Genomic DNA, 27,429 nt, shown 5'->3' with positions numbered 1-27,429 from the left:
ATATTTGAGATTGCTATCCACCTAAACTATCTTCAACTCACATTTATTAACTACGAGTTATTTCAAAATTGGACAATTAGTATCCACTAGTAAATATTTACTCCAGACAATGTTTGGGCTAACATGGTCTAAAGATGAAGACAGGTGAATATGAAAGACTCCATTTTTTCTCAGGTTCAGAGAGAGTATATTATAGCCCTCAATAAATGTGACTCCTGACTTTTTACACTAGATCTATGTAAAAAATGCTGATACAATGATTGCAGCCATACCATTTATCAAAAGAGCATATTATTACTATACAATAATATATTTAAAATTCTTTATTCTGTGAGTTTTGTATGCCAAGTCATTTATTCAAAGACATCACATTTTTGCTATAAAATAAATTCAAGAATATGGAAAGCTGTTTTTTAAAGGCTGTCTTCTTATAATTTGGCCAAAAGAACTTGAAATATGTTAACTAAATATTTATTATTTTTTTCTTTTTCTTGGACATTTGTATGTTTATTAGATTTAAAAACTACCAATACTCTTTCCTCCAGATAATTACATAGTCAGTGTCTATTATTTCGGTCTTTTTTGTTTTCTTCTCCACAATTTTGGTCAATTAATTAACTGTCTTTCAGAATACCCATGTCTGTTTCTCAAGATGAAATAGCAAATAAGAAAAGCACTGGGTAAGGAGTCAGAAGACATGTTATTCAACAGCTGGGTGGCTCTCTTTGGACCTCATTTTCCTTATCAGTAATTTAGAGATGTAGGGCTGGTGGATCTCCAAGGTCTTAGGACGTATCTCTACATGATTATCTAAAAATGAGACCATTAGCCAATTAATAAATTCTGAGCTCTCAAAATAATCTCTATATTATACATGTGCCAAGTGGTCCATCCTATTTAAAATGTGGCCTCACTTGTTCAAGGTTATTCTCTTTTAGTATTTAATTTTCATATTTTAAACTCATTTGTATATGAACTTTGGTTCCTATCTGTGTCTTCTGAAAAGCATTCTTCACCAGAATCCGCTGATTTTCTTTATGAAGTATCACTTGTAAAATCACATAGCTTAAAAGGATCTTATTCAATTCTGATAATGCATTTTACAGATAAGCCAAGTAAAGTCAGGAAACAGCATGGGCACTTATTTGTAAAGATTCTTTTGGGGTAGAAATTATTCTCTGCAAATTCTGTAATAATATGGAACCATTGGGTAGCTCAAAAAAAGAAAAGATTCACTGCAGGATACATTTTAGCTATTATTACTGAAACCACATGATATGACTGTGGGGAGTTTCCAACTGCTGATTTAGACATTAATACTAAGAGTTACAAAATGGATGTCCTCAGAGTATTATCAAATTTATTATGTTTTAAGTTAGCACTACCATTATTTTTTATTATAGGAAAGTTGATCATTGAGTGACTGTTGCCAACACTTTTACCCTGAATTTTGTCATTGCAAACTTAACTCAGATTTCTTATTTCTGAATAAATGATAATAAGTTATAAATTCTCTTGCTAATTCAGACTATGCTTTAGGTTTAAATTGGTTTATAACTACGATGTACACATAATGAAGTTCCATTAATAGTAAGCATAAGGGATGGAACTTATAGATTCAAATGTCAGAAGTAGTGATAATAATATAAATCTAAACATGAAGAGTGTAACATGAGTAATGGTAGTCCATGGAGAAAAAAATCACAAGTGAGTTAAAGAAGAAATGTAACATGAATTAAAAATATACTTGAAATGTAAATAGTTATAATTATATTGACAATATTTTTTTCCACTGAAGTCTATACAAAAGATTTGATTTATGAAATTCTAATCAATAACTATTTAGATCATGCCATAAAGCAGACAATTAGAAACAAATTTTTAAATCTATTTGTTTACCAAAACTATCCCCAGGTCTAGAATATTCTATAAACACAGAATAGATTCAAGTTAAATTGCTTTTTAGGTATTCGTAGCATACAAAACTCAGTTATTCTTAATCTATCCATAATATGAAATTGCAGAAATGTCTGTGATTTTCTTCATCCTTCTTTTTAAAAAAAAAATCAGTGTATTCAACTGATATTTGGTCATATAAGCCCAATCTTTAGACAGAGGAAAATGAAGGAAAAAAGGTTAGAGATGCAATAGCAGACCATATTAAATAAATATCAAAAGTAGTTTCTTAGTTGAAAATGTGGAATTATTTAATAAAAATAATGTAGAATTTTAGTAATATTTACTTCTATTAGATTTGGGTGTGATTTGTCATTGCATTAGGCATTGATGTGTCTATACCATGTGCACCTATTAATACACAGTACATTATTAATGATCATATTTGGACTTGGTAGGTAAAACTTTATTTCTATAACTGCTGTCAATGTTAGGCTGAGTTTACGGATCTGAATTTCCCTTCCAACATTTTTTGAAATGGGATGTTAAAAAAAAAAGGAAGAACTGGCCTAGGAGTGCCTAATATCAGTACCTAATTATTACCACAAAATAATCCATAACATTTTTATGGTCAAAATGTGGGTTCCTTTTCTTTTAATTTAGGATGGTTTGTTTATTAGAGTCAAATCTTAGAGTTCAAGAGTTTAATTGTCTAGTTTGTGAAATAATGTAACATCATTTTCTAACAGAAAAGAGCCTTAGAGATTACAGAAAGACAAAGAAACTGAGGCCTGAGAAGAGAAGCAAGTAATCTACATTCATATAGTATCTAGAGTGATAAAAAGTATAGTTCTTTCAATTTCTTGGACTTCCCCTTAAAAATGACTGTGTCAAGGGAAAAAAAGGGCACAATGAACCCATTTGGTTAAAAACATTAGCTCTGATAAAAGTCCTGCTAAGGATAAAGCTTAGCAATTCATTTTAATAAGAAACATCAGACTTCCTACAGAAGGACATAACCCCTTTCTTATTCAGTTTCCTCGCCTGTGAACAGTCATAACAGCACATGCTCTATATATCTCATAATATGAGAAACATTTATTAAGTGCTTACTACAAGTAAATCATAAAACTATGTATATTGCACCTAATTTTAATAAAATTTCTATGAGGCAACTCTCCCATTATTGTCCTATTTTGGAGATGAGGAAACTTAGAAACAGGATGGCCAGGTTATAAGCTCAAGATGCTATAATGCCTATGGGATAGGACTAGGATTTGAACTCAGAGGCTAGAGAGACTTTTTACTCCTGCATCTAGCTGCTTTGCTTCATGGCTTCCCACCACTTTTGTCTTAAAACATGAGATAATAGGTGGGGGGAGGGGGTAACATCAAAGTAATAAATAATTTTTCAAATGCAAGATCATATTAATCCTAGAAAGGATGTGGGCCCTATCTCAGATTATCATCAGTAATCAATACTTAGATGCACAGGTCAAAACTCTGTAATAAGTTCCATTACAAGGAAGACTGAGATAGAACATGTATAAGCACAATGGAAAAGTCCATTCGTTCTAATTATTTATTTAAAATTACTGTATACTAAACTCTCTTAAAATTCATCATAATAAGATTTGACCTGTGTGGATAATACACTTTTCATTTCCACACCACTTATATATATTTTTATAAATATGTTTGTTCTCAGTCATGTTTCCCTATGGCTCATCTGTTTAGTATTTTTATCTCCTTTACCTGTTCAACACGTTATATTCTGCTATTCCATCTAAATAGAACAAATGTTTCAAAAAAAATACCAATAATGGCTGCAAATTTAAAAAATAATCTCACAGTGTTTTAGTAAATGTACTGAGCTTGGCTACAAGACAGTTCACAGTAGCACAGAAGTCCAGCCTGTAGTGGCTTCCATCCAAATCAATGTAGCCACAAATAATCCTTGCAAAAGGATAAAACTGAGTCCAAGGACAGTGTTATCAAATTGTTACAATGTAGTCACTTTATAATCAGTCTCAAATGTTAGCTCAGGGGAAGTCATTGGGCATCAACATAATTCATGTTCTTATGGTTTAAAAAATAAAAACTGTAGATGGTCTCAATCTTGGATCAAGGTTAATGGAGTCTGTCAAGGATTAAAAATATGTACTTAGAAATCCGAAAATCTCACACCTCTCAATTTTTTTTTGGCATTTTCTAAAATTTCCATAAACAACTAAAGTTCGGTTTAGTTAGAGACTTGGTTGGACTCACAAGTCCTTCTCTTCTGTCCTGTGACTCTTTACGCATTAATCAACTGAAAGTTACAAGATGTGAAAGTGTGACTCAAGTCAACTTCTCTCTTAGACAAGTAGTGTTAAGTCATTGCCCGAAAATTTTCTTGTTGGTTCCCAGCTTTCTAAAAAAATAGTTCTTGATTTTATGTCAGGTAGTGAAACTCACTATAGAAACTCATTTATTCCATAAACAACAGAACAGTTTTTGTTATTTGCTAGATCTGAAATAATTTCTAATATACTTAAAAATATTTATGCATTTTATATATATATATATATATATATATATATATATATATATATATATATATATATTAGATATATATATTAGAAACTAGGTTGGCCAGGCACGGTGGCTCATGCCTATAATCCCAGCAGTTTGGGAGGCTGAGATGAGTGGATCACTGGAGGTCAGGAGGTTGAGACCAGAATGGCCAACATGGCAAAACTCCATCTCTGCTAAAAATATAAAACTTAGCTGGGCATGGTGATGTGCACCTGTGGTGCTAGCTACTGAGGAGGCTGAGGCAGGAATACCTCAGAATACCTTCATTTTGAAGGTATCCACTATTTTAAAACATGTCTCTAGTGTGTTTATATGCAATTTCAGCCTACTATAGTAGAACTTTTATTGAAGGTCAAATGCAACATAATAGTAGGGAACAGGAAGCAATTGTGGCAAAGTTCTCTACAGTATTGCCCTAAGTTCTAAGAAATTCTACAATAAATTTGAAATTGTCTGCTGAAGTCATGTTGACTTCCATTATTTATCCCTGAAAAACGAATGAGAGTTCCAAATGTTATTGAGTAGTCACTGCAAAAGTCATTAAAGAAACCAAAAACTATTATTAGAAACAGTTTTGTTTGTGCTTTCTGTTGGTTTGTGTTTGGTTTTGAGACAGGGTCTTGCTCTCTCACCCAGGCTGGAGTATAGTGGCAAGATCATAGCTCACTGCAGGCCTGGCCTCAAGCAATCCTCCACCATGGCCTTCCAAAGTGCTGGAATTGTAGGCATGAGCCACTGCACCCAGCCAGAATGTCTTGTATTTGAGTACCCATTTATAATTTTTCATCAGTTTTTTTCTTCAGCTTCCATACTCATAAGTGATATTTGAGTCACGAATTCAAGCATTCATATATTCATTTTTTTAACTATATAAGTAAAGAGTAAAGCTAATTTACTGATTTGTCCTTGAGGAGTAGAAGACAAAAGAGGAGATGCTGACCAAATTCCCTAGTTAATTTTCAGGGTAGGAGAACAGAGACTGGATCACTGTGCTACCTTAATTCAATATCTATTAATTAAGGCTTTGTTTATTCTAAACACTGCACTACACAGGTAGGAGGATATAAAAAATATGAGAAAAATGTATTATCTGCCCTTGATGTATCCATAAGTAAATTGATTCAAAATGACATTTTAAAATATGAACCATAATTAATTCTTCTTTTATATTCAAAATATATCTTCTGCATGTTTGCAGAACATTTTATTATAAAAATCGTAAATTTGTGGATAGCAATAAATTTCAGGGAATTACATTTTTTAAGTTGTCCTTATTCAATACTTTGCTAATATAATTGATATTCATAATGATGACCAGAGGAGTAAATATTCTAAAGATTTAGAATTATAAAAATAAACACTAAATTGGCCAGGCACAGGGGCTCATGCCTATAATCCCAGCACTTTGGGAGGCTGAGGCAGGTGGATCACTTGAGGTCAGGAGTTTGAGACCAGAGTGGCCAACATGGCAAAACCTCATCTCTACTAAAAATATAAAAATTAGCCGGGCATGGCGGTGTGCACCTGTAGTGCCAGCTAGTGAGGAGGCTCAGGCAGGAGAATTGCTTGAACCTAGGATGCGGAGGTTACAATGAGTCAAGGTCACACCACTGCACTCCAGCCTGGGCAACAGAGTAAGACTCCATCTCCAAAAAAAAAAAAAAAGGAAAATAAAAAATAAAAATAAACACTAAACTATGTTTAGTGTGATATTATAATAAAATCTAGAGTTTTTAAAATGAGACTCCAAGAATTAATCAAATGTATCAGTTTCAGAAAAAAACCTGCATTTCTGTATCAATATTTCCTATGACATTCTTAGGGCATTTTATTAAATCCCATAATTACTTCTTTCTCTGATAGTATGTAAAAAATGTTGTTATTAGTTTACTAAAGTAATATTTTCCCCAGTTCTTAAGGATGTGCATGCCATGAAAGAAAAGAAAATCACCAAGCAGGGACATTTTCTATGTGATCAAAGAAGTAGCAGCTGCGGTAGGATGTTTGTTCCAATAAATGTACAGGCCTTTGGAAGAGTTCAGATATACTACAAATAACACTGGAATCTTAACATTCATTCATGTCATTCTCAATGTTTCAGGATCTATCTTCATCAAATCAATGATATCATTGAGAGTTTAGATGGGCATAGCATAAATACAATTAGCATAACCACTGACCACATGATCTGATCCAATACACTATGACGTATGATTTCCTCAAGAATCTTCAAGATTAGGACGGTGCTCCTTTTGACACCCTATGCCACATAGCTTTTTCAGCAAACCTTAGACCTAAAAACTAGTGGTTTCAGAATCATTTCAGAGCAGGAGAAGTGGTAGGATGCCATGATGCTCTTGGAGCTAGACAGATGAAGACAGAATACTCTCATCAAACTGTAAATTCTGGAATGGCTTGGACTCTCATAGCAGCAGTAGTTTATGGAACCACTGATTTTAGAAAATTGGTCATCTGACACCCTCCAATTGACAAGTGAGTTCTCACCACTTGTCATGTTAAAACTTGGGACTACATTTCTGAGATTCTTGTTCTTACCACTGAAGCTTGATACTAATTCCATCCCGTTCATCAATGTCACCATCATTATCTTTTTATTTCTCTATATGCCAAACAAATGTGAAAGAGCTTAGTTTGATTTTTTACTGATCCACAATTAACCTGAAGAATACAGGCGTGCCTCAGAGATTTTGTGGTTTCAGTTTCAGACTACTGCAATGAAGCAAATATTGCAATAAAGTGAGTCACATGAATTTTCTAGTTTCCCGGTGCATATGAAAGTGTGTTTACCCTATATGATAATGAGTTAAGTGTGAAATGGCATTATGTAAAAAAATTGCATATCTTAATTTAAAATATTGTTAAAAATGCTAAAGATTGTCTGAACCTTCAGAGTTGTAATCTTTTTGCTGGTTTTGGGTATTGCTTCAATGTTGATGGCTGTTAACTGGTGAGGTGGGTGGTTGCTGAAGTTTGGGATGGCTGTGGTAATTTCTGAAAATAAGACACCAGTGAAGCTCAGCACACTGATTTACTCTTCTTTTCATTAAAGAGTTATCTGTACCATGCAATGCTGTTTGGTAGCATTTTACCCATAGTAGAACATCTTTCAAAATTGAAGTAAGTCCTCTCAAAATCTGCATCTGCTTTGCCAACTAAATTGATGTAATATTCTAAATCCTTTGTTGTAATTTCAACAATATTTACAGCATCTTCACCAGGAGTAGATTCCACCTTAAGAAACCACTTTCTTTGCTTGTCCATTAGAAGCAGTTCCTCATTCATTAAAGTTTTATCATGAGATTGCAGCAATTTAATCACGTCTTCAAGCTCGGCTTCTAATTCTTGTTGTCCTGCCATTGGCACTACATCTGCAGTTACTTCCTCCACTGAAGTCTTGGAACTCCTCAAAGTAATCCATGAGGGTTGTAATCAACTTCCTCTAAACTCCTGTTATTATTAATAATTTGACCTCCTCCTATGAATCACAAATGTTCTCTACGGCATTTACTATGATGAATCATTTTCAGAAGGTTTCCAATTTACTGAGATCCCTCAGAGGAATTACTATCTGTGGCGGTGATAGCCTTACAAAATGTATTTCTTAAATAATAAGATTACACCTTGATCCATGGGCGGCAGAATAGATGCTGTGTTAGTAGGCATGAAAACAACATTAATCTTCTTGCATTAGAGCTTTATCAGAGCTCTTGGGTGACCAAGTACATTCTCAATGAGCAGTAATATTTTAAAAGAAAATTATATTTCTGAGCAGTAGGTCTCAATAGTGGGCTTAAAATACAGCATGTCAACCATACTGTAAATAGATATGCTGCCACCCAGGCTTTGTTGTTCCATTTATAGAGAACAAGTGGAGTAGATTTAGCATAATTCCTAAGGGCCCTAGAAATTTTGGAATGGTAAATGAGCATTGGCTTCAAATTAAAGTCACCAGCTTCATTAGCTTCCAACAAGAGAGTCAGCTTGTTTTTTGAAGCTTTGAAGCCAGGCATTGACTTCTCCTCTCTCACTGTGAAAGTTATAGGTGGCATCTTCTTTCAATAGAAGACTGTATTATGTACATTGAAATTATATATTTTTAGTGTAGCCACCTTTTTTAATTATCTTAGCTAAATCTTCTGGATGACTTGGTGCAGCTTCTACATCAGCACTTGCTCTGTAACTTTGCACTTTTATGTTACAGAAACAGTTTCTCTCCTTAAACCTCATGAACCAACCTCTACTAGCATCCAACTTTTTTCTGCAGCTTCTTCGCCTCTCTCAGACTTCATAGAATTGAAGAGTTAGAGTATTGCTCTGGATTACGCTTTGGCTTATGGGAATGTTGTGGCTGGTTTGATCTCCTATCCAGACCACTCAGACTTTCTCCAAATCAGCAATAAGGCTGTTTTGCTTTCTTATCATTTGTGTGTTCAGTGAAGTAGCCCTTTTAATTTCCTGGAGAACTTTTCCTTTGCATTCACAACTTGGCTAACTAGCACAAGAGGCCTAGCTCTTGGTCTGTCACAGCTTGCCACATGCATTCCTCACCCAGTTTAATCATTTCTAGCTTTAAATTTAAAATGAGAGATGTGGTTCTATCTTTCACCTAAACACTTACAGGCCATTGTAGGGTTGGCCTAATTTCAATATTGCTGTGTCTCAAGGAAGAAGCAGGCCCAAGAAGAGGGAGAGAGACAGAGGAAAGGCTGGTCTGTGGAGCAGTCAAAACACACACAACATTTATCAGTTAAATTCTCCATTTTACATAGGTGCAGTTCATGTACCCGCAAAAATTACAACAGTAAATATAAAAAATCACTGATCATAGATTGCCATAACAGATAAAATAATAATGAAAAGTTCTGAATTATTGAGAGAGTTACCAAAATGTGACAAAGAGGCACAAAAAGAGCACATGCTACTGGAAAAATGGCACAGACAGACTTGCTCAATGCAGGGTTGCTACAAGCATTTTATTTGCAAAAAGCACAATTTCTGCAAAGTGCAATAAAGTGAAGTGTAATAAAATATGGTATGTCTGTATTTTGGCCAGATGACAGAATTATACTTCCTAGAAACTGGCCACATAAACGTCAGGGGTTTTATTCTTTCTATGGGGTGAACCTGGAAGATGTAACAAATGAAACTGCTAAAAAGATTTTAAGCTAAGATGGTTTTTAAAATAACAGCTGGAATTGATTTAGAAAGCAAATGAAATTGCAAGGAGATAGCAAAGGAACACATTGTGACGACTAAACAGAAGCCATGCATGGGGTTCTCTGATCTAGGAATCTGGATGAAGCTGGGGAGGCATTCAGAAGCAATAGCCACATTTTTATATGGGTCATAGAGACTCAGGTGTGCAATGCCAGCTCCAAAGAGATTTCAAGTGCCATGAAAGGCAGCCCCTGACAGTCTATGCTCTCTTCTTATTTTTGTGGAAATGGCACTCCCGTAGGATTCCCAGCAGCTATGATAACAACTGCCATGGTGCTCCCCCCAGAGTATGTCATTCTTTCCCATTAACACAGCTGATTGTCCCTAATGACTTTTCGGTATCAATATGGTTCTTTATTAGCCACTTCTAAAGTGTTGACTTTGACATATGTATAGTCTCAAATTATGTTTTTTAGAGTATAATTGTAGCTCATTGTCCCTAATACAGCCAGCTTCAAGAGTTTGACTGAATTGCTATAGCTTTTATGTAGTTCAATGTTAGATGCTAGAGTGGTTATAGGGGGTTTCAATTACTGAGAGAGTAAATGAAAAGGTAGCCTTTTTTTCTGCTCTTGATTTTGATGATTTTTCTCATTGGAGAGAAATAGTACCTCTGAATTAATGGGAACACTATAGGAAAGAATAAGGAAATCATAATTCAGAGCAGAGTTACCCTCTGCTGAGACTCCCTGTGTGCTTTACTGCAATGAGAATTTAAAAAGATTTATTAAGGGTAAAATATGTCAATTTTGTAAAATAACACAATCTGTGGTAAAATAGTTTTAAAAAGAAAGTTGTTGAAGTTGTTTTCTTTTTTGGTCAAGTTTATATTCCTTCATCGAGCAAAATCCAGGTGTTTGCCATCAAACGTCTTAATCCGTATTCTTTTGACTTATTTTCCTAATTTAGGTACAGATTATCATTTTACCTCAGAGACATGAAGTGTCAGCACAATTAATTGAAACAACTGATTTGTTGTTTGAGAAGAAAAATAAGAATATGATAATTAGGCCCTACTGCACACATATTTCTGAATCACAATTAAAAAAGAAAGTACCGAAACAGTAGTATAAAATATAGGTAAATATGTGTTGATAATACTTCATTCCACTCAGAAAGCAAGGTTATATTTGTTTCAAGCCATGCATTAGATAGTTGAAGTTCTTGAGGAAGTCAATAAATAGCACCCTTCTTCCCCACTCAAGTTCTGAAATAAGAAGCAAAATAGGTGGAGGCAGAATATCACCTTTATTATTGCTACAGCTGATCATTTTGAAGAATGTGACTCACACCTTCAAGTATGTGGGCTGAAAATTTATAGCATAGAGAGGTCATCTGGGAGGATTTACATTCTATAGGCAATACAAAGAGAGGAAGGGAACATGAGAGTTAGACAGTGAGAGGATGAGGGAGAAAGAGAGAAAAAGAAGATATGGAGATATGCAGGCTCACGTGTCCAGTTTTTCCTTCCCAACTTCCCATTTAAATGCATGTCTGGAGTAGAATAAAAAGGAGAGCTTAAAGTGTTACATTAATGGAACTCATTACATATGAAAAGACAAGAGTAGGGAAAGAAACTTTTCCCCATAAATATATGCATAAAAGAAATAAAAGGCAATCGAATATAAAGTACAAAAATATAGTAAAGTTAAAAAAATCCTAGCTTTATTTCTTTATTTAAATTAATATTCATAAAGATAGCTCACAAAAACCTACACATATATGGTAATAAGTAGATAATTCTCCACAGGAAAGAGTTACCAAAGCTTGAAGTGATTGCCAGAAATCTCCACTTAAAACAATGGGTGAAGAAGAATTGGGGATTTACACAAGAGGCATATGCCCTTCATTCCCCAGGACTTAGGAATAGTGCTCCAAACTGTAGAGGGCAGAGCAAGTTGATTGTCCACCCAAACCAGCTACAAGAAAATTGCCCCTCAACGTCATGTCTACACTCCACCAACTACTTCAACTCTGGTTTCAACATTAAATTAACCCTACATTTTAAGTAAAGGATTTCATTCAACATTTCTACAAAGTCTCCTTCTTAAACTGCCTATCATAAATACTTGAAAATAATAGGACATGGCAAATATCTAAAAAAGTACATTACCATATGAAAAACTTTGCTGCCTGAGATTCATACATGATGCAAACCTTCTAAAAACAATTAAAAGTTATTTATGTCCTAATCATGAGATGAGAACATCGCCAGCCACATCATTTCACCATGTAGTATTAATTTTTGCAGAGAGTAGAAACAATTTTGCTAAAGATGTTGATGAGGCATGGAATTCTCTCATGCTTTTCCTCCATTATCATCTGTTCTTGGTTCTTCCATTGACATCAACCCTTTGCCTTCCAGGGTAGCTAGCAGTAGGAGGGCTGTGGCATGCAGCAGAAATAGCCTTCAAAGTTGTCACCTTTCAGACCAGACATTCTAGAGATACTGTACTGACTACTGGGAAGGCCAGTCCTGCATGTTGGAATAATTTCAGTGCAAAAGTGAAGCTGACATATCCAACAGATTTCAAGTGTCCTAGTTCTAAAACAATTTTACGAAGGAGTCTGTGACAGGATTTACCAAGGAGTTGTAGAGCAAAATATATGTGAAGAGGCTGGTCAGTATTCAGATGGTCATCTTCAAGCCATACAACTTTCCTGCATTAGTCAATGTTATCTAGAGAAAAAAAATAAGATATGTATATATAAATGTATACATCTGCATATGTATAGACAGAGGGAGGGAGAGAGATATTAATTTTAAGGAATTGGTTTATGTGATTGTGGAAGCTGGCAAGCCCAAAATCTATAGAGCAGGCCATAGGCCGGGGACCCAGAGGAGCTGCAGTTTGAGTGTGAAGGCAATCTGCTGGCAGAATTCTCAGAAAATCTCATGGGTTTATGGAGGCATTTATACAACATTCCATTCTCAAAATGGATCTCAACATATATGTGTATGATTTTATTCTGGGAATGCCATCTAGCTCCTTTGCAAACACCTGATTCATTTATACGACCACGTTCCTTGAACACGTCTATGTATCAGGTAATTGACAGTCACCTGAAGATTGCAAACAAAACTATGACAGGATCAAATCTGCATTTGGAAAGATAACTCAGGCATCAGTTCAGATGAGGTGACATCGTAATTGCCAAAAATGAAATATGGATTTAAGCATGAAATGTAACTCATATTTTTCCTCAAGTGTTTATTCTCTAAACAAAAGACTTAAAAACAGGCAGCCATTAATTTTTCTCCTCGTGTTTTTCTTCATTTACACATTTGAAGCACATGTTTAAGTTGGTGTAGTTTCAGGCCGGATATAATTTTATTATTTCATAGTATAAAAAGCAAATGCAACCCACACAGGAAAAACTCTCAGTTGTTAATTCACATATGGACTTCCCAAGAGTGTGTGCCTGGTCACTTGGGGCTGATGTTGCATGGGCCTCTGCCAGCATTCCACGTAATTGCTCTGCCTTGCTCAAAATCATTCAAAAAAGAAACTATATAAAGCAAGCAATGCTTTCGGATGAGGAAAATGCCTAATACTGACATTCGAACTGAAGTTTACATTTTTTTGCTCTGCCTGAGATTCACACATGATGCAAGCCTTGTAACAATTAAAAGTTATTTGTGTCCTTCTTTGGCCATATATTTGCTAGTAATGCAATGTTTCAAGATAGTTATAGTGAAGTCATGAATTGCACATAGGAGATAACATGTTGATTCTCACTAAAAATACAAAGATGGAAGAGCAGTTTTATCTTAAGTTTCCCTAGCAAGTTCTCCGTGTTCATAATCACTAGGCACAGAAAACATGAAAACCATCTCAGTGTGCATATGTAGGCAGGTATTTTATCATGGAAGCAAATACCTGATAATGGTAACACATTTAAATAGTAACTTAAAGTGTGTGCCACATACTCTGATTACACTGAATATAAAGAATAATTGAAAACTTATGTAATTTTTTTTCTTCAAGAGCTCAAAGCTACATATGCCTACATTGCTGCAATTGTATGTATTACTTATTGAATTTTCTAATGCAACTTAAACATTGATTTTGGGGGTTTTTAAGTTATAAAAGCAGGAAAAACAAAATAATTTTTTATTTTTTAAGTACATGTTTTCAAGTGTATGTACAAGTCCACTTATATTTAGGCCATACTGTGCATTACAGTAAGCACACTCTTGCACAAAGAAATTGAGTGTGTAAACAATCATAGCCCAAGGTTTCCCATTATTATGTGAACTTATTGTTTTGTTTTCCATATACTTCCCAGATTTGCTTATGCTATTTCCTCCTATTGAAATGATTTTTTCTTGCTCTTTTCTGAATATCCAAATGTAGTTCAACTCAAATGCCACCTTCTCTAATACTTACTCATCTACCACTGTGGTACTTAGTCTCTTCTTTAAATGTCAATAACCTTTCACCTCTATTCTTTTAAGGGTACTTACAACAATGTTTCTTGTGTTACTGTATTTTCATCCTTAGAAGACCAATCCTTGGAGGCAGGATCTCAATCATTCAGCAGAGTGCCCTTGATCTAATAGATACAAGTAAATATTTGTTAAAATATTGAGTTAATGTGTAAGGATTTAGAAAAATCCCTGAAGAAATCCAAAAGCCAGCTCTAGAACATGAATATCTCTAGAAATGTGAAGGGTACTAAGTTGCCTCTTCCTAAATTGTAATATTCAAATAGTCCTATTTTTAAAATAAACAGAAAACAAAAACCTTAGGAATTGAGGGGAATCCGATAGGAGTGGGATTCTAATTATATGAATTAAAAATCTATGCCCAATACATGACCAATGTTGAAGACAATGATTACTTTTACAGATTTTAATGGAAGCATGCCCTAAATATGCATCATTAAAAAGCACAAATAATGAGCTTATCAAAGAATAAATCTTGAGAAACAAATGAATTGCATATAACAGAAGTACCATTATAAGACTAGGAGAAGAAGTGATTATGAAATACAACAAATAGATGTAATCTTAAAATATCTTATGGCTGATGTATCTCTGTGACTGATTGCTGTCTGATTCATTGTTTCATTCCACAAGTATTTATCGAGTACCTGTTATAAGTCTGGCACCCTTCTAGTTGCTGAGAAGACAATGATAAACACAAATTCACTGCACACAGTAAACACATACATAATCAATCAGGGGGCTATAAATACTAAAAAGATAAATAAAAGAATTATGAAAGTGCAATGATGTGGTTTGTCTGTGACCCCACCCAAATCTCATCTTGAATTGTAGCTCCCATAATTCCCACGTGCTGTGGGAGGGACCTGATGGGAGATAATTGAATCATGGGGGCAGCTTTCTCCACACTGTTCTTGTGGCAGTAAGTCTCACGAGATCTGGCGGTTTTATAAGGGGTTTCCCCTTTTGCTTGGCTTTCCTTCTCTCTTGCCTGCCACCATGTTAAGATGTGGCTTTTTACTTCTGCCATGATTGTGAGGTCTCCCAGACATGTGGAACTGTGAGTCCGTTAAACCTTTTTTGTCTTTATAAATCACCCAGTCTTGGGTATGTCTTAATTAGCAGGATGAGAACAGACTATTATATGTGGTATGACATTTTATATAAGGCTATCAGGAAAGGTCTCTATGATATGATATTATTTGAGCTGAGCCTTGAAGGAAAGAATGGTGGGAGTCATATGAATATCCAAAGAAGAGCTCTCCAGACCAGACTAGGGGAATAGCAAGTGCAAATGCCCTGAGGCAGGAATGCTATTAGGATGTATGAGCAAAGAGTAAAGAGGGAGGTCGTTAGAGTGAACAAGGAGACAGTGGCAGGGGACGCAGTGAAGAAGTGAGGTGAGCAAATCATGTAGGGTCTTGAAAGGCTCTGGTTAAGATTCAAAATTTTATTCTGAGTGTGATGGAAAACCATTGGGATCTGACCAGTGGACATATGTGATTTGGCTCTAGAATTAAAAGGATCACTCTGGTTTCTGTGCAAAGAACAGCTTAGGCTAGGGGTGGTGATAATGCGTAAGGATGAAGCATGGAGGCCACTGAGGCTGGTATGGCAATAATCCAGGCAAGAGGTGCAGGTGCCTTGTGTTAGGGCGGCAGCTGTGGAGGTGGTGAGAAGTGGCTGGATTCTGGTGTATTTTAAGTTAGAGTGAAGGTCAAATTATCGTATAAGACTTTACCAAGTAAGATTCTGCCAGATGTAAAGAGCATCTTTTCTGAGAGGACTTCATTATATCATATTTATAATGGTAATTATTCTCACAGTTACTCTCTAGGGAGCTCATCTGTTAGGATTAACCCCATCTCTCAGAGAGGCCTGGGTGACATGCTTTGTGTCACAAGTCAAGACAGATCCCAGAGCTCCAAAGCTACTGTTCCTTCTACTAAATTTCACATTTTGTTCTCAGTTTTCTTCTGCATATTCAAGAAGAGTTTTGATTTAAAATATATAACGTATTTTTAGCATGAGGAAAAATTCTGAATATTGACTTAAATGGTTATCTTCATAAAAAATTGTTAGCATCTTATTTTCAAAAGATTAGTGTAGTGATTTTAGCAATGTTTTGCATTTTTTAGGCTGAACACAAACATGCAATAATTCATTTTTGAACAATTTTAACAAGCACATTCTATGGGGAAAATACATCCTATTAGTGATATGTTCTGTGTTGTCTTGTTTTTAAATATGTGTGTTTAAAGCATAAATATTATTAAAAGCATCCTTAAAGATATCATTTAACAAACTATTTCTAGGAGAAAAAGTCTAACTTTATTGTTAGTCCTGACCATTCACATATTTCTTTATTCTGAATCATTAACCAATGACCTGTTTTTTAAATTCTGAAACATTTTTCAGTTACTATGCATTTACAGCACTCTAAAACACTAACCAATCAGCTAACAAGTTTTATTGTAATGATTTTATTGCGCTAGAGAATACTTTTTTATTATAATATTTGAGTTCTAAACTATTCATTTCTTTTTGTTCTTGAATAAGAATTTAAGGGATTCTTGGAGATTCTTAGCTGCTTTTATATTTAGAATGCTAGAACATGATGCAAATACCCTCACTTTAATCAGGAAATATGGACACTGACATTAAAAAGTCTTCCCCCTCACATACTTGTGAGTCATTTTTCCTCTACAAGATTCTTTTCTGCAGATTTCCACTAGACCCACACCTCACTCAAATAGACTCTCAGTCTCTTGAGTCAGGCATTCATTTATTTCTTTTCCCTACCGGCTTCCTCTGGAAACGCAAAGAGAATTTAATGCATTGTGTATTTATTGACAGCCCCTAAAATGCATGATATTCTGGCTAAGTGGTACAAAGATAACAGAGAATTGGAAACAATCCTTGCTTTCTGAGGACCTAACTCCTAAATAATCATTTAAGCTAAATAAGAAAGGAAAAACCTGCCACTAGTCTTGAGAGGTTAAATAACTGATAATCTGGTGACTCCCACCAACTGCTTATTCTCTAAGAAAAAAAAAAAAAGAAAACATTTTTTTCAGGTGTCCAAAGAGAATTTTTTAACCTTTTCTTTGTTCCATCAAAGATGAGTTCTGTCGTCTCTTTCAAGGTATTTTCTCTTAGATCCTTCTTTTCATTTCAGCCCTCAGTGTTGTGCTAATCCTTGATCATAGGGGAATTTGCAAAGTAAGTATGGGAGATAGAAGAGTATAAGAAACAGAGTTAAGGATTTATTAAAATACAGAAAGGAACAGTCTCTTTTAAGTATGGATAGTCACCAAGAGCAATCAAGATGGCACTGCATATTTACTGGGAGTCGTCTCATTGGTTATATGCTAGGTTTCCTTCCAATGAAAGAGGAAAAAGTCACTTTTTTCATTTCTTTTTTTTTTTTTTTTTTGCCTAAGAAGATGCTATAATGGATGCACGTAGATTTGCTAAAAGTAGAATAATTTATCCTGTCAGAGTTATTGATGCTCAACTCTGTCTTTTTGGAAATTGCATTTGTTGAAAGTCGGGCATGCTTAAACCCTGATTGCAAATTTTAGATGTTTTCAAAAGATTATGTAAGAGTAGAAATTGAAGTGTATCATCTTCTGTCTTCTATTTAGCGTTGTTCTGTTCTGCTTCCAATGAGCATCGTAAATGTGATGACAGAGTATAATGAAATGGTTATTTGGTTGTTTTGTTAGGTTCCAAAGTTCAGAATTTTCTAATCCCATTAACAATAATAAAAAAATACTCTGCCACTCAAAACCACAAATATCTCAAATATTTAAGTTTACTAAGCTTATAATTAGCATAAGAAATATTTTCTCATAGAGCTTCAAGAACACAACCAAATAATTCTTGAAATTATAGATAAAAATCTAGTAACATAGTATAAAATATAACATTATCTTTTTATAATATACAAGCAATAAATTTTATTTACAGTGTTAATTTTATGAGCAAACTATTTTAAAATATTACCACATTATGTATAATAAAAACTGTATTGTGCATAATGAAAAATAAATATTGATGGTTTTACATAATAAATATTGTTAAAGGAATGATTTTTGTTATCTGAAATTATAAGATTAAAATTTGTATACCAAGTTTCACTCAGTCACTGTTTGCTGCCATAGAATTTATAAGAGAAAGTACAAAATATACTAAAAAGGAAAGAAAATTGTTGTTTTTCTGTCCAATAAATCTTTCTTCCCAGATATATAAATGGCTGTTAATTCTATTGCCATCCCATGTAATGTGGAAGTCAATGAAGAAATAAGACCTGCCAAATAAAAGGGCACATACCCTATTTGTATTGAGCAATGGATACTTATTTAGAGAATGAAGAAACAACAGAAACAGGCAGAGCTGATTTGTGTTCTATTCTCTGTATACAATTTGACATGCCTATTTATCACACTTCAATAAAAGTGAACTGAACACTTTAGAGATATTGCAACCCATGAAGAACAGAAATGTAGAATCGAAGAGCATCAATTCCCAAAAGTTGCTTATACATTGTTCTAATTTCCTTTCATATAGAATTTATACAACATATTTAAAGTTTCAATAAACCCTTTATCTAGAAGCAAGTAGAATTTAACAAATTGACAATGTATACTTACATTTGCTAAGTAATCTATAAATAAATCCATGGGTTCTTAAAAGTCAGAAACTCTCAAGCAATATCATATGAATTCTCATTTAAACAAAAAAAAATGCAGCTATACTTCAAAATTATTTTTATTTTTAAATATCTGTAGTTTTTGTAAAGCAGAGCTAAATTCGTTTCTGAATATATTATGGATGGGATATATTATGAATATTCTACTTGTTAAACCACCAAGACAAATGTTATACTTTTGCTCTACAAAATTTGAATTTATAAACATAATTTACACTCTAGCAAAGCGAATTTGATTTCTCTTTGAAGGAAGAAGACATGTAAATGGTGAGAAATTAGAAAAAAGGATGCTAATTGGATAGCAGTAATGATTCACCATTTTGTTTTTTATTGTAAGGCCAAAATAAAAAGGTTGATTTTTATATGTTAGGCATGTTCTGTTGTTTATTACAGAAGAATCAGCACTCTTGATATTTATAGTCAATGTGCATGTCCAGCCTTGACCTATAGTTATGCTACAAATAAAATTGTAATTGTTACTTTAATGTAGATCCTATCAAAACCATCATTTATTCACATTTGAATAGATTTTTAAAAACTGCTCTTCAATCTTAATAATTTCTACTGCTAGCACATTATTAACAAAATAACATGTTTTCCTCCAGTGGGCTCAGCGTGTATTACAGGTCGCAGTGTTTAGAATGATGACAATGACAGGAAATATATTGGGATGTTCTAAGCAAAGCACACGACAATGCAAGACAAAAAGATCTCCAGAAACCTGGTTGGAGTTTGAAAGAACTTCCTTGTTTTGGGAAGTCTGAAATAGTCTTAGAGTTTTGTTTGATGATAACAATGAATCTTAAAAGGGAGCAGGAAGGGAGGTGTTGAAACTGCTAAATTCTCTGTCAAAGAATTGTACCAACGCTGTTTCCTTGCTCTTCAGCAAACCCTGTTGATGGGGATTACCCTGTTCATACCTGACATTCACAACAGAAATTACTCTGCTTGTATTGGAAATTTACTAGGTATCAGATAGATTATAGGAGCTACTGAAAGTGTTAGAAGGCACCAAGTAGTCAAGAAATAATTTTTCCAGTTTCCACTTATACCCATACGTTTTATCCCTGTAGAATACCTGTTAGAGGAAATTTACAAAAGACTAACTAAATGAATAAATTAATAATAGAGGGAAAGGCAGAAGTCAAGATGCAGATTTTTACTGTTTTCTGTGGCAGATTACTAAAAAGAAAATGGAAACTAGAAGACAGTATACTAGAGAAATCACCAATCGTGTGTTTATGATAGGATGAGCAAACAAAAATGAAATTTATACACCATACACAAACCACTTGAACCAAAAGACGTTACTATGAGAACATTTAAACAAGTCTAACTTGGAACTTTGCTTGATATATTTTAGCTCTTTGATTAAAATCTTTGTCCAAGTTCAGTGACATGTATAATGCTGTGGTCAATAATATTTTTTCTTCCAGATCTCATTTTCAAGAAATGAAGCTTTCATTAGTACTTTCCTACAAAAGCAAGATAATTTACTGATGCTCTGACAATCATACACAGAGCTCATTGTTCTCTGAAATATATACACCAAATTTTTCCTGTTTGATTCATCTAAAGACTAGTACATTGTGCTCTCATGGAGCCAAAGAAAGGAGGAGAGATTTTATTCCTACCAGGTATTGGGAATTCTATTCAACCTAATCTACCTGAGAAATTAGTGTAACCAGATTTGGGGTGGCTCTGGGATCATATCACTAAACAATGTAAGTCATATCATGTACATGGTCTTTATGATAAACCATTTCCAAGAATAGCTTTAAATATTGTGAAATGAGAGTATGATAATGAATCTGCCTGTGAAAATCATTATTTTAAATTTGGATATCCTCGTTTTTATATAAATTTATGATTGTTACTTAAAAGTTAGTTTATATTTAAAAGTTTTCCGAGAAGACTTTTATCTAAAATTTTTGGAAGGATATTTTATATTTTCCAAAGCATCAATTTGCAAATAGCATAATTCTAGTAAGAAACCTGATTGGCTTTCTTTTCTTTCTACAAGGATTTAACAAACGACAGCTTTATTGACATTTCTTATGATTTAGGATTCATTAACACTTTTTTCCCAAAAAGCTTCCCCAAAAGCTAATATATACCTAAAAAAATATATAGAGTCCATCCTATACTTAACAGCAATTCAAATAAGTACACTTTCATCACTTTAAATTTTTGCATGTTGTTCTTTCTTACCTACAAACTCACTGAAATTTTACAGCCAAGGAAACGTTTTACTTTCTCTTGCAATTAACAAGTGTCTACTCCGATAATTATTCCAACTCAACTGTCCCTTTAAATTCAAAGTATTTGTTTGGTTGATTCCAACTTCCACAATAAATATAAGATTCCAGAGTTCAAGTGTGTCATATGTCCTTCTCTTTCACTCAGGTATATATAAAATATGAAACAAGTGTTATTTATTTGTAATTGGACCTATTCCATTTTGAGTGTAACTTCCTTGACTCAAATTTATATCCACTGCGGATATGGTTAAGAAAAAAAATATATTTGGTTTTCAGTTCCTAAGTCAGTTGTATGAATGTATATTATGCATGTCACAAACCGCTGCCCTTGCCACCCAGGACACTTTCCATTCTCATTTTTCTAGTGTTAAGATACGACTTACGAGGGCCTACCAAGAAGGCAAGTAATTCTACTTATGTAGCACAGTTTAGGTCTCTTTATTACTCTCGAATCATCAAAATACATCCTTTAATGTGCAATACAATACATCATAAAACAAAAACATTTTCTTATTCCCCCCGTCATTGCTTATTCTCTTATTCATCTTAAAATAAACAGAAATAAATATCTGATTAAGCTTATTTTACATTTAACCATTCTCAGATAATCACCTTTAACATGTAATTTTAAAAAATCACTTAAGGATCAAGCAATTCATTCCTAATAGTTAACTTAAATAAGCAGCTAATTCTTTTTTGAAAACAAAAACAAAAATTTTAAACTCAAACTCCATGTTTCTAAGCAGGGACACCATGGATAACCTCAGTTTGCTACTTTCAAGGTCAATATTGGGATCAGAGAGTTCCCATTCTATGATACAATTGGAAGATAAAGATCCATTACTTCCAGGGGAAGCATTGTCCAGAGCTTTAAGCACAAATGGGTCAAGTTGCACAGTGAATTGTCTAATTAATGACTGTTGCATTTAGTGTGCCTGAGACCTCATAAATATACGCTCCCCAAATTGGATATACATTCCTCACCCCCCCAAAAAAAAAGTTACACCAAAATTATCTTATTATGTGTTCCCATTTCATTTCCAGAAGTATGCATCAAGAATGGACTTTCACAATCTTATAATAATTTTTTTTAAAATTGTCTTTCTTCATGTTTACTTGATAGTCTGGAAAATCTATATTCCAGGAAATAATGATTTTCTGCCTAAATGTTAAATGTCTAAATAGCCAGAGATCATTTTCAAATAGTAAGCAGTGGGATAAATGATTGTACTCTGCAAGTATGTGTTTACATGGTCAGAAATATATAATTAATAATCTTGGGCTTTGAGGTTTTATGTGAGTATTGCATAAGTGTATCCAAACCGAGCTACTCTTCTGGAATAACCATACAATGCTGCATTGTTTTCTTTTCCCATGTTTCTGTGTATATGTTACTGTTTCAGTTTCATTTGTCAGCAAAAGTCTGTTTACCAGGCTTCCTGTTATTAATTATGGGAAACAGGTTTTCTTGAAATATACAAGAGACTCTTTAAACTCTTGTCCAGACACTTCAAGGCAAGATATTGATGATTCCGTCCATGTTTGTACAAATCTGGAAAATGAATTTAAATACATTGTTGCTTCACATAACCTACAACTTCTTATTTCCCACAGAGGGGGTAAAAAGACAAGTAATAAGAAACAAATCACAGCAGCTTCTATCCTGGTTACTAGATACTGAGATAACAGAGTTGGTTACTTTCTTCATTTGCCACAAGGATTAATTAACAGATCACAATGTGAATTCTGAAATCTAATGGCCCACAAAAATAAGTTGCACAGATCGACTCAAATTGTAAAGTGCTGAAAGACAATGAGATGTATTCTAATGTAAATATTCTCATAAAGAGACAAAAATACTGACCTGATTATTGGTGTATTACAAAGCTTTTCATATAGAAACATCTGGTCAGTCCGTCTAGCTCTCTCTTTCTCTCTCTCTTTGAAATGGGAAGAAATATACTCGCATGCATTAAAATTATAAAGGAACCAAAACATCTGGAAGTTTTAGAAGAAAAGCAAAATAGTTATGGGGGAAATTCAGATTAAGAAATGCAGATGTTTAATTGGGCTGTCAGTTTTGTTACAAGGAAATAAGAGCAGAAATAACCAGAAGCCACTGGTGGAAAATTAAAATAGTTTCATGAGCCCTTGCCAAGCTAAAAGCAATGAAATCGGTAACACAATATGGACAGGGGCTTTCTAAACTGAGATCTGAAAATGTTACCATGTGCAATTTTGTAAATTAGCCATTTCCAAAAAGTCTTTTTCATTAAAGCACAATAAAAGTTTTTCAGACTCTCCTCTCTTTGGTCATTAACATTGGGCAGTTATTCGGGGTTTGGCTTTCATCAATGACAAGCTCTTCCCCGCACCCTCCTCACCCCCTTTCTAAGACCTTCTAATACTGCTGAGTGGCCAGAAATTACAGATGCAAGAAAAGCTGACAAATGACTGCCAGGCCCCTCCCCCAGTGCCTAGACAGTCAAAGCCCCTGCCAGAACATGCCTGAAAGCAGCGCTCCTAGAGACAAAGACACAAAGATTCCATTTTCTCAGTGAAAATAGATTTCATGTGTAAAACACTAGTGAGAAAAATTGAAAGCTGACACATATGTGCAATTTCAGAGAGGCAGGGCTGAATAATTCAAGATTGAAATTGCATTTGATTGCATCAAAGCCTAACAAATGTTGTTTAACCTAAAAGTCTTTTCAGTCTGTAAAAAGACATTCAGTGGCAAGATATTTTATTTTTTTTTTTAAGCACACGGCTGAAAAGGAAAAGGAATATTGAGCTCAGTAGAGAGATGTTGATTATATACTACTGTTGGATTAGGAATTAACACTGGCTCACATCACAGGGTCTACAAAATAAGGGGGAAAAGTTTTTTTAAAAAAACCATTAAATCAAAGGGTTCTGAAAGATAATATTAAATCCTTATGAGTATGTTTCCTATAAAAAGAATCCCCTCCCAGCAGCCCCAGGGTATCATTACTGGAGAGGCAGCGAGTGGTTTATTAGAGATTCAAACCTGGCATCTGAGCCTTGCCAAGCATGCAAGTTTTAGCTTGTGTGCCCAGGGCCTTGGCTTCTGCAGTCCCTTCTTCTGGCATCTAACAGTGAAGGCCGTCTGGTCGGCCTCCACACCACACCAGGCAGTGTGTAGGTACAAAGCCTAGGACTGGGAGACAAAGAAAGTTTGTCATTTACTAAGGAAGATTACGCTTTTCTTCCTGTCCGCTTACATATTCACCCAAATCCATTCAGTATCATTTTGTTCTTAACAGATAGGCTCAACACTTACAGAAAACTTGGCTTAATATGTTTTAGAGAGTGTTAGACCCCTAACAGGTGAAAGTATAATTAATAGTAGCTGGCAGGAGTAGTAGACCAAGAAATTGCACTGGGGATATTTTAATTAAAAAGAAAGTTTTAAAACAAATTTTTTAAAAATTGAGAACACACTTTGTTCACTCTCATCCCCTTCCTAGCTCCTGAATTTCTTAAATTTCTTTGGTCAATAGGAGGATCAGACAGAGAAAAGAGACTAAGAAATTACTTTATAATCTAATGAGAGATAATTGAAAGGAAATTGAAAGGAAAGAGAATATTAGGTAAACCCTATGTCTGTTAAATGTTTTATACAAACCCTTAAAGTCTCAGAGCAACATTCATGTCAGGATACATTTTCAGTATCATTTCGAATCTAAGAAGAATACTATGGAGTATTTAACCAAGGTGTTTAAAATATTAATTAATAAAATTAATATTTCATTTGAGATATTAAAATAATGTGAGTATTCATCTATTTGTTTATCAAATGGGAGCACTGGTTTGGGAATTTGGACTTTTTAGCCCTATTCAGCTACTCTGAAATCTTACTGAGTTTTAGAGCCTTAGTTTATCTGTCTGTAATATGAAGAATTTTGCCAACTGAAGAAAATGGGGACTAAATCTACAAAGCCAGCATTGACTACAAAATGCTAATATGTGGAGTTGAAGAGAGTGTGCAATACTTTTGTTGTCTTTTAAAACTTTTAAGCTTAATATGCAGAACAGTTCAGTGTATTAATAAGGACAGGAAGTCCCTGGTGAATACAGTAAAATAAATCAGTCCAAAGCTATGTAGTCACTACACCAAAGACCAGTTGATTTGTGTATTTGTTCACTTTTCAGAATGTTTCACATGCTATAAAATTAAATCTGATACTCTGTGACTTTTAATTTCTTAAAGTATATCTGCTTTATTTATTTATATTTGTTTACATGATTGGTTGATATTAACTCACCCTTCCTTTTTTAGTCATTTCACTACTAAGTATATGTACACAGAATAGCTGAGTGAGCCAGTGTGAACCAGAGTGACCCAAAAATCCATCCAGAAAATGCGGGCAAGATTATGCCCTTTCCCAGACTGCCAAGCGCACTGCCTCTGCCTTGGAAGGCAAGAACAGCACTGGATGACATGTGAAGCTTTTCAATACACTTCCTTGCGTTTCAGCCAACAGGGTCATTCACACATCTTTAGTTGTGCTTCCTAAGCAGTCTCTAGAGCTTTGAATATAGAATATCATGGGAATAAAACATATTGTAATATAGAAAATGTTCAAGAAAAAAGTAATAGAAATGCATTCCTGCAGAGATATGTAATGACTAACCTAAGAAGGTCATCAAACTTATAAATTCTAAGCAGTCTCTTACAGTATTTTTTTAAGCAAAATATCAGGATTCTATACTTCAATATTGAAAAGAAAAGAAACAGATTTGTTTGTCTTTATTTAGCCCAATTGAAGGGGGAAAAACCACACTGCTTAATCACATTTAATATTTTCTTATTTGAAAATTTATTATCATAGACTAGAAGAATGATTTTAACATAAAATAATATTATTATTATTAGGTAGATAAAGTCTCTTTAGAGATACTGGTTGATTAAAAAGCAAGTATATTTATATAAGATGTATGAGAATAAAATCTTAGATTTCCTTAACAATTATGCTAATATTTAATGTAATATTTTTAAGTGTTTTTATGCATGGCATATGCATTGAGAGAAAATGTGGACCTTGTATTCAATTAGTATGCCAGAAATATCCAAAACTAGTTTATCTTTTCACTAATCTCTGGTTGTTATTTGACAAAGCTTATTTATAGAGAAAAAAATATGTTTTCTGCGACCAAATTAGTAGCCCTAGAAAGGAGAAAATTTAGAATGTGAAAAGTTGGCAGATCCCTATGGATTGTTGAACTGGAAAACATCCCCATAAGAGGATAAAAATAAATTTCAGCTAATTTGCTCAGCATGGCCTGAGTTTCACATAATATCTTTTTGTTTTGTTTTGTACAGAGATCCTGGCAAAATTACCAACAATCAATGATGGAAACTGAAGGGAGATTGATTTAAATCTTCAATGACAGTTGTACAGAAGTTGAAGAAACACGTCATCTTTCCAAAGAAGAGTGAGTAGCTTGGTTGGTGGTACCCTAAAATTAGGGCATGATTAAGGTACGTCATTTCTTTTAGTTCAATCAAAGTGCTTTGCTGTTTCCATTTCAGAGAATTTCTTATTCTTTTTTTCAATTTCTCTCTCTTCCTCTTCTTCCTCTCATTAGTAGATGTCTTTTATAATTGATGTCATTTACTGTCCTTTCATCAAATGTATGCCACATCACTTAGGCGAACCAGCAGACAGGGCACCAAAATACACATTAGAGGAGACTGGCTTCCATGAGACGCTTCGACTGTCTCATCGGGGCACTTGTAATAAGCATCTTGGTGCCACTGAATGCAATGCTGTATTCAAATAATAGCTTTCATCTTCACTCTTTTTAAATATAAAAGTAAACCTTGAAGCCCTTTGAAGGACCTAACCAAACAACATACCTATGAAAATAGATCAGTAAGGCTTTGAGAAACATTCTTAAGTAAAATCTGTAAAGCATCTTTGCATTTTTTTTCAAGAAAGACCTCCAGGTAAATGATGGCTTTTAATAAGACACATGACAATCTCAATTACAAGAATCATTAGTGTGTGTCCTGTGCGCCATTTTATGTTCCCAGCAGGATATATCTTTTCTCGTCTAGGGTTTCCAGGGCTGTCTACTGTTCTCTATGTGTAAAACGTATTTAAGTGTTCCCCCAATGCTGCACTAATGTTGAAACAAAACAAAACAAAAACGAAGAAACCTTTGTCAAGTGGTCAGACAGACTGGAACTAGAGGATTATAGGTAAGAGAGATAAAATGAAGGGTTGAAAGCTATAATTTCTATTTATGTGGTGGCAACCAAATCA

At 34.2% G+C, this 27,429-nt stretch overlaps 1 long non-coding RNA gene across 1 annotated transcript in view, besides 1 other annotated feature; it reads left to right on the top strand.

The window, feature by feature from the left end:
• The window catches only part of MIR181A1HG (MIR181A1 host gene), a 129,427-nt gene that overhangs the window by 10,377 nt on the left and 91,621 nt on the right, over window positions 1-27,429 (top strand). The window contains exon 2 of the long non-coding RNA NR_040073.1: window positions 26,484-26,642. This is a non-coding gene — a long non-coding RNA (MIR181A1 host gene). The remainder of the gene's footprint in view (window positions 1-26,483; window positions 26,643-27,429) is intronic.
• Window positions 7,109-7,198: an enhancer, noted in NCBI's record as "active region_2285". NCBI's record gives its function as "activates an Ori minimal core promoter by ATAC-STARR-seq in GM12878 lymphoblastoid cells {active_cell/tissue: GM12878}" and the evidence as "EXISTENCE:reporter gene assay evidence [ECO:0000049][PMID:35858748]".

Source organism: Homo sapiens, chromosome 1 (genome assembly GCF_000001405.40).
Source record: "Homo sapiens chromosome 1, GRCh38.p14 Primary Assembly".
Classification (NCBI taxonomy): Eukaryota; Metazoa; Chordata; class Mammalia; order Primates; family Hominidae; genus Homo; species Homo sapiens.
This window is presented reverse-complemented; position numbering and strand designations above follow the sequence as displayed.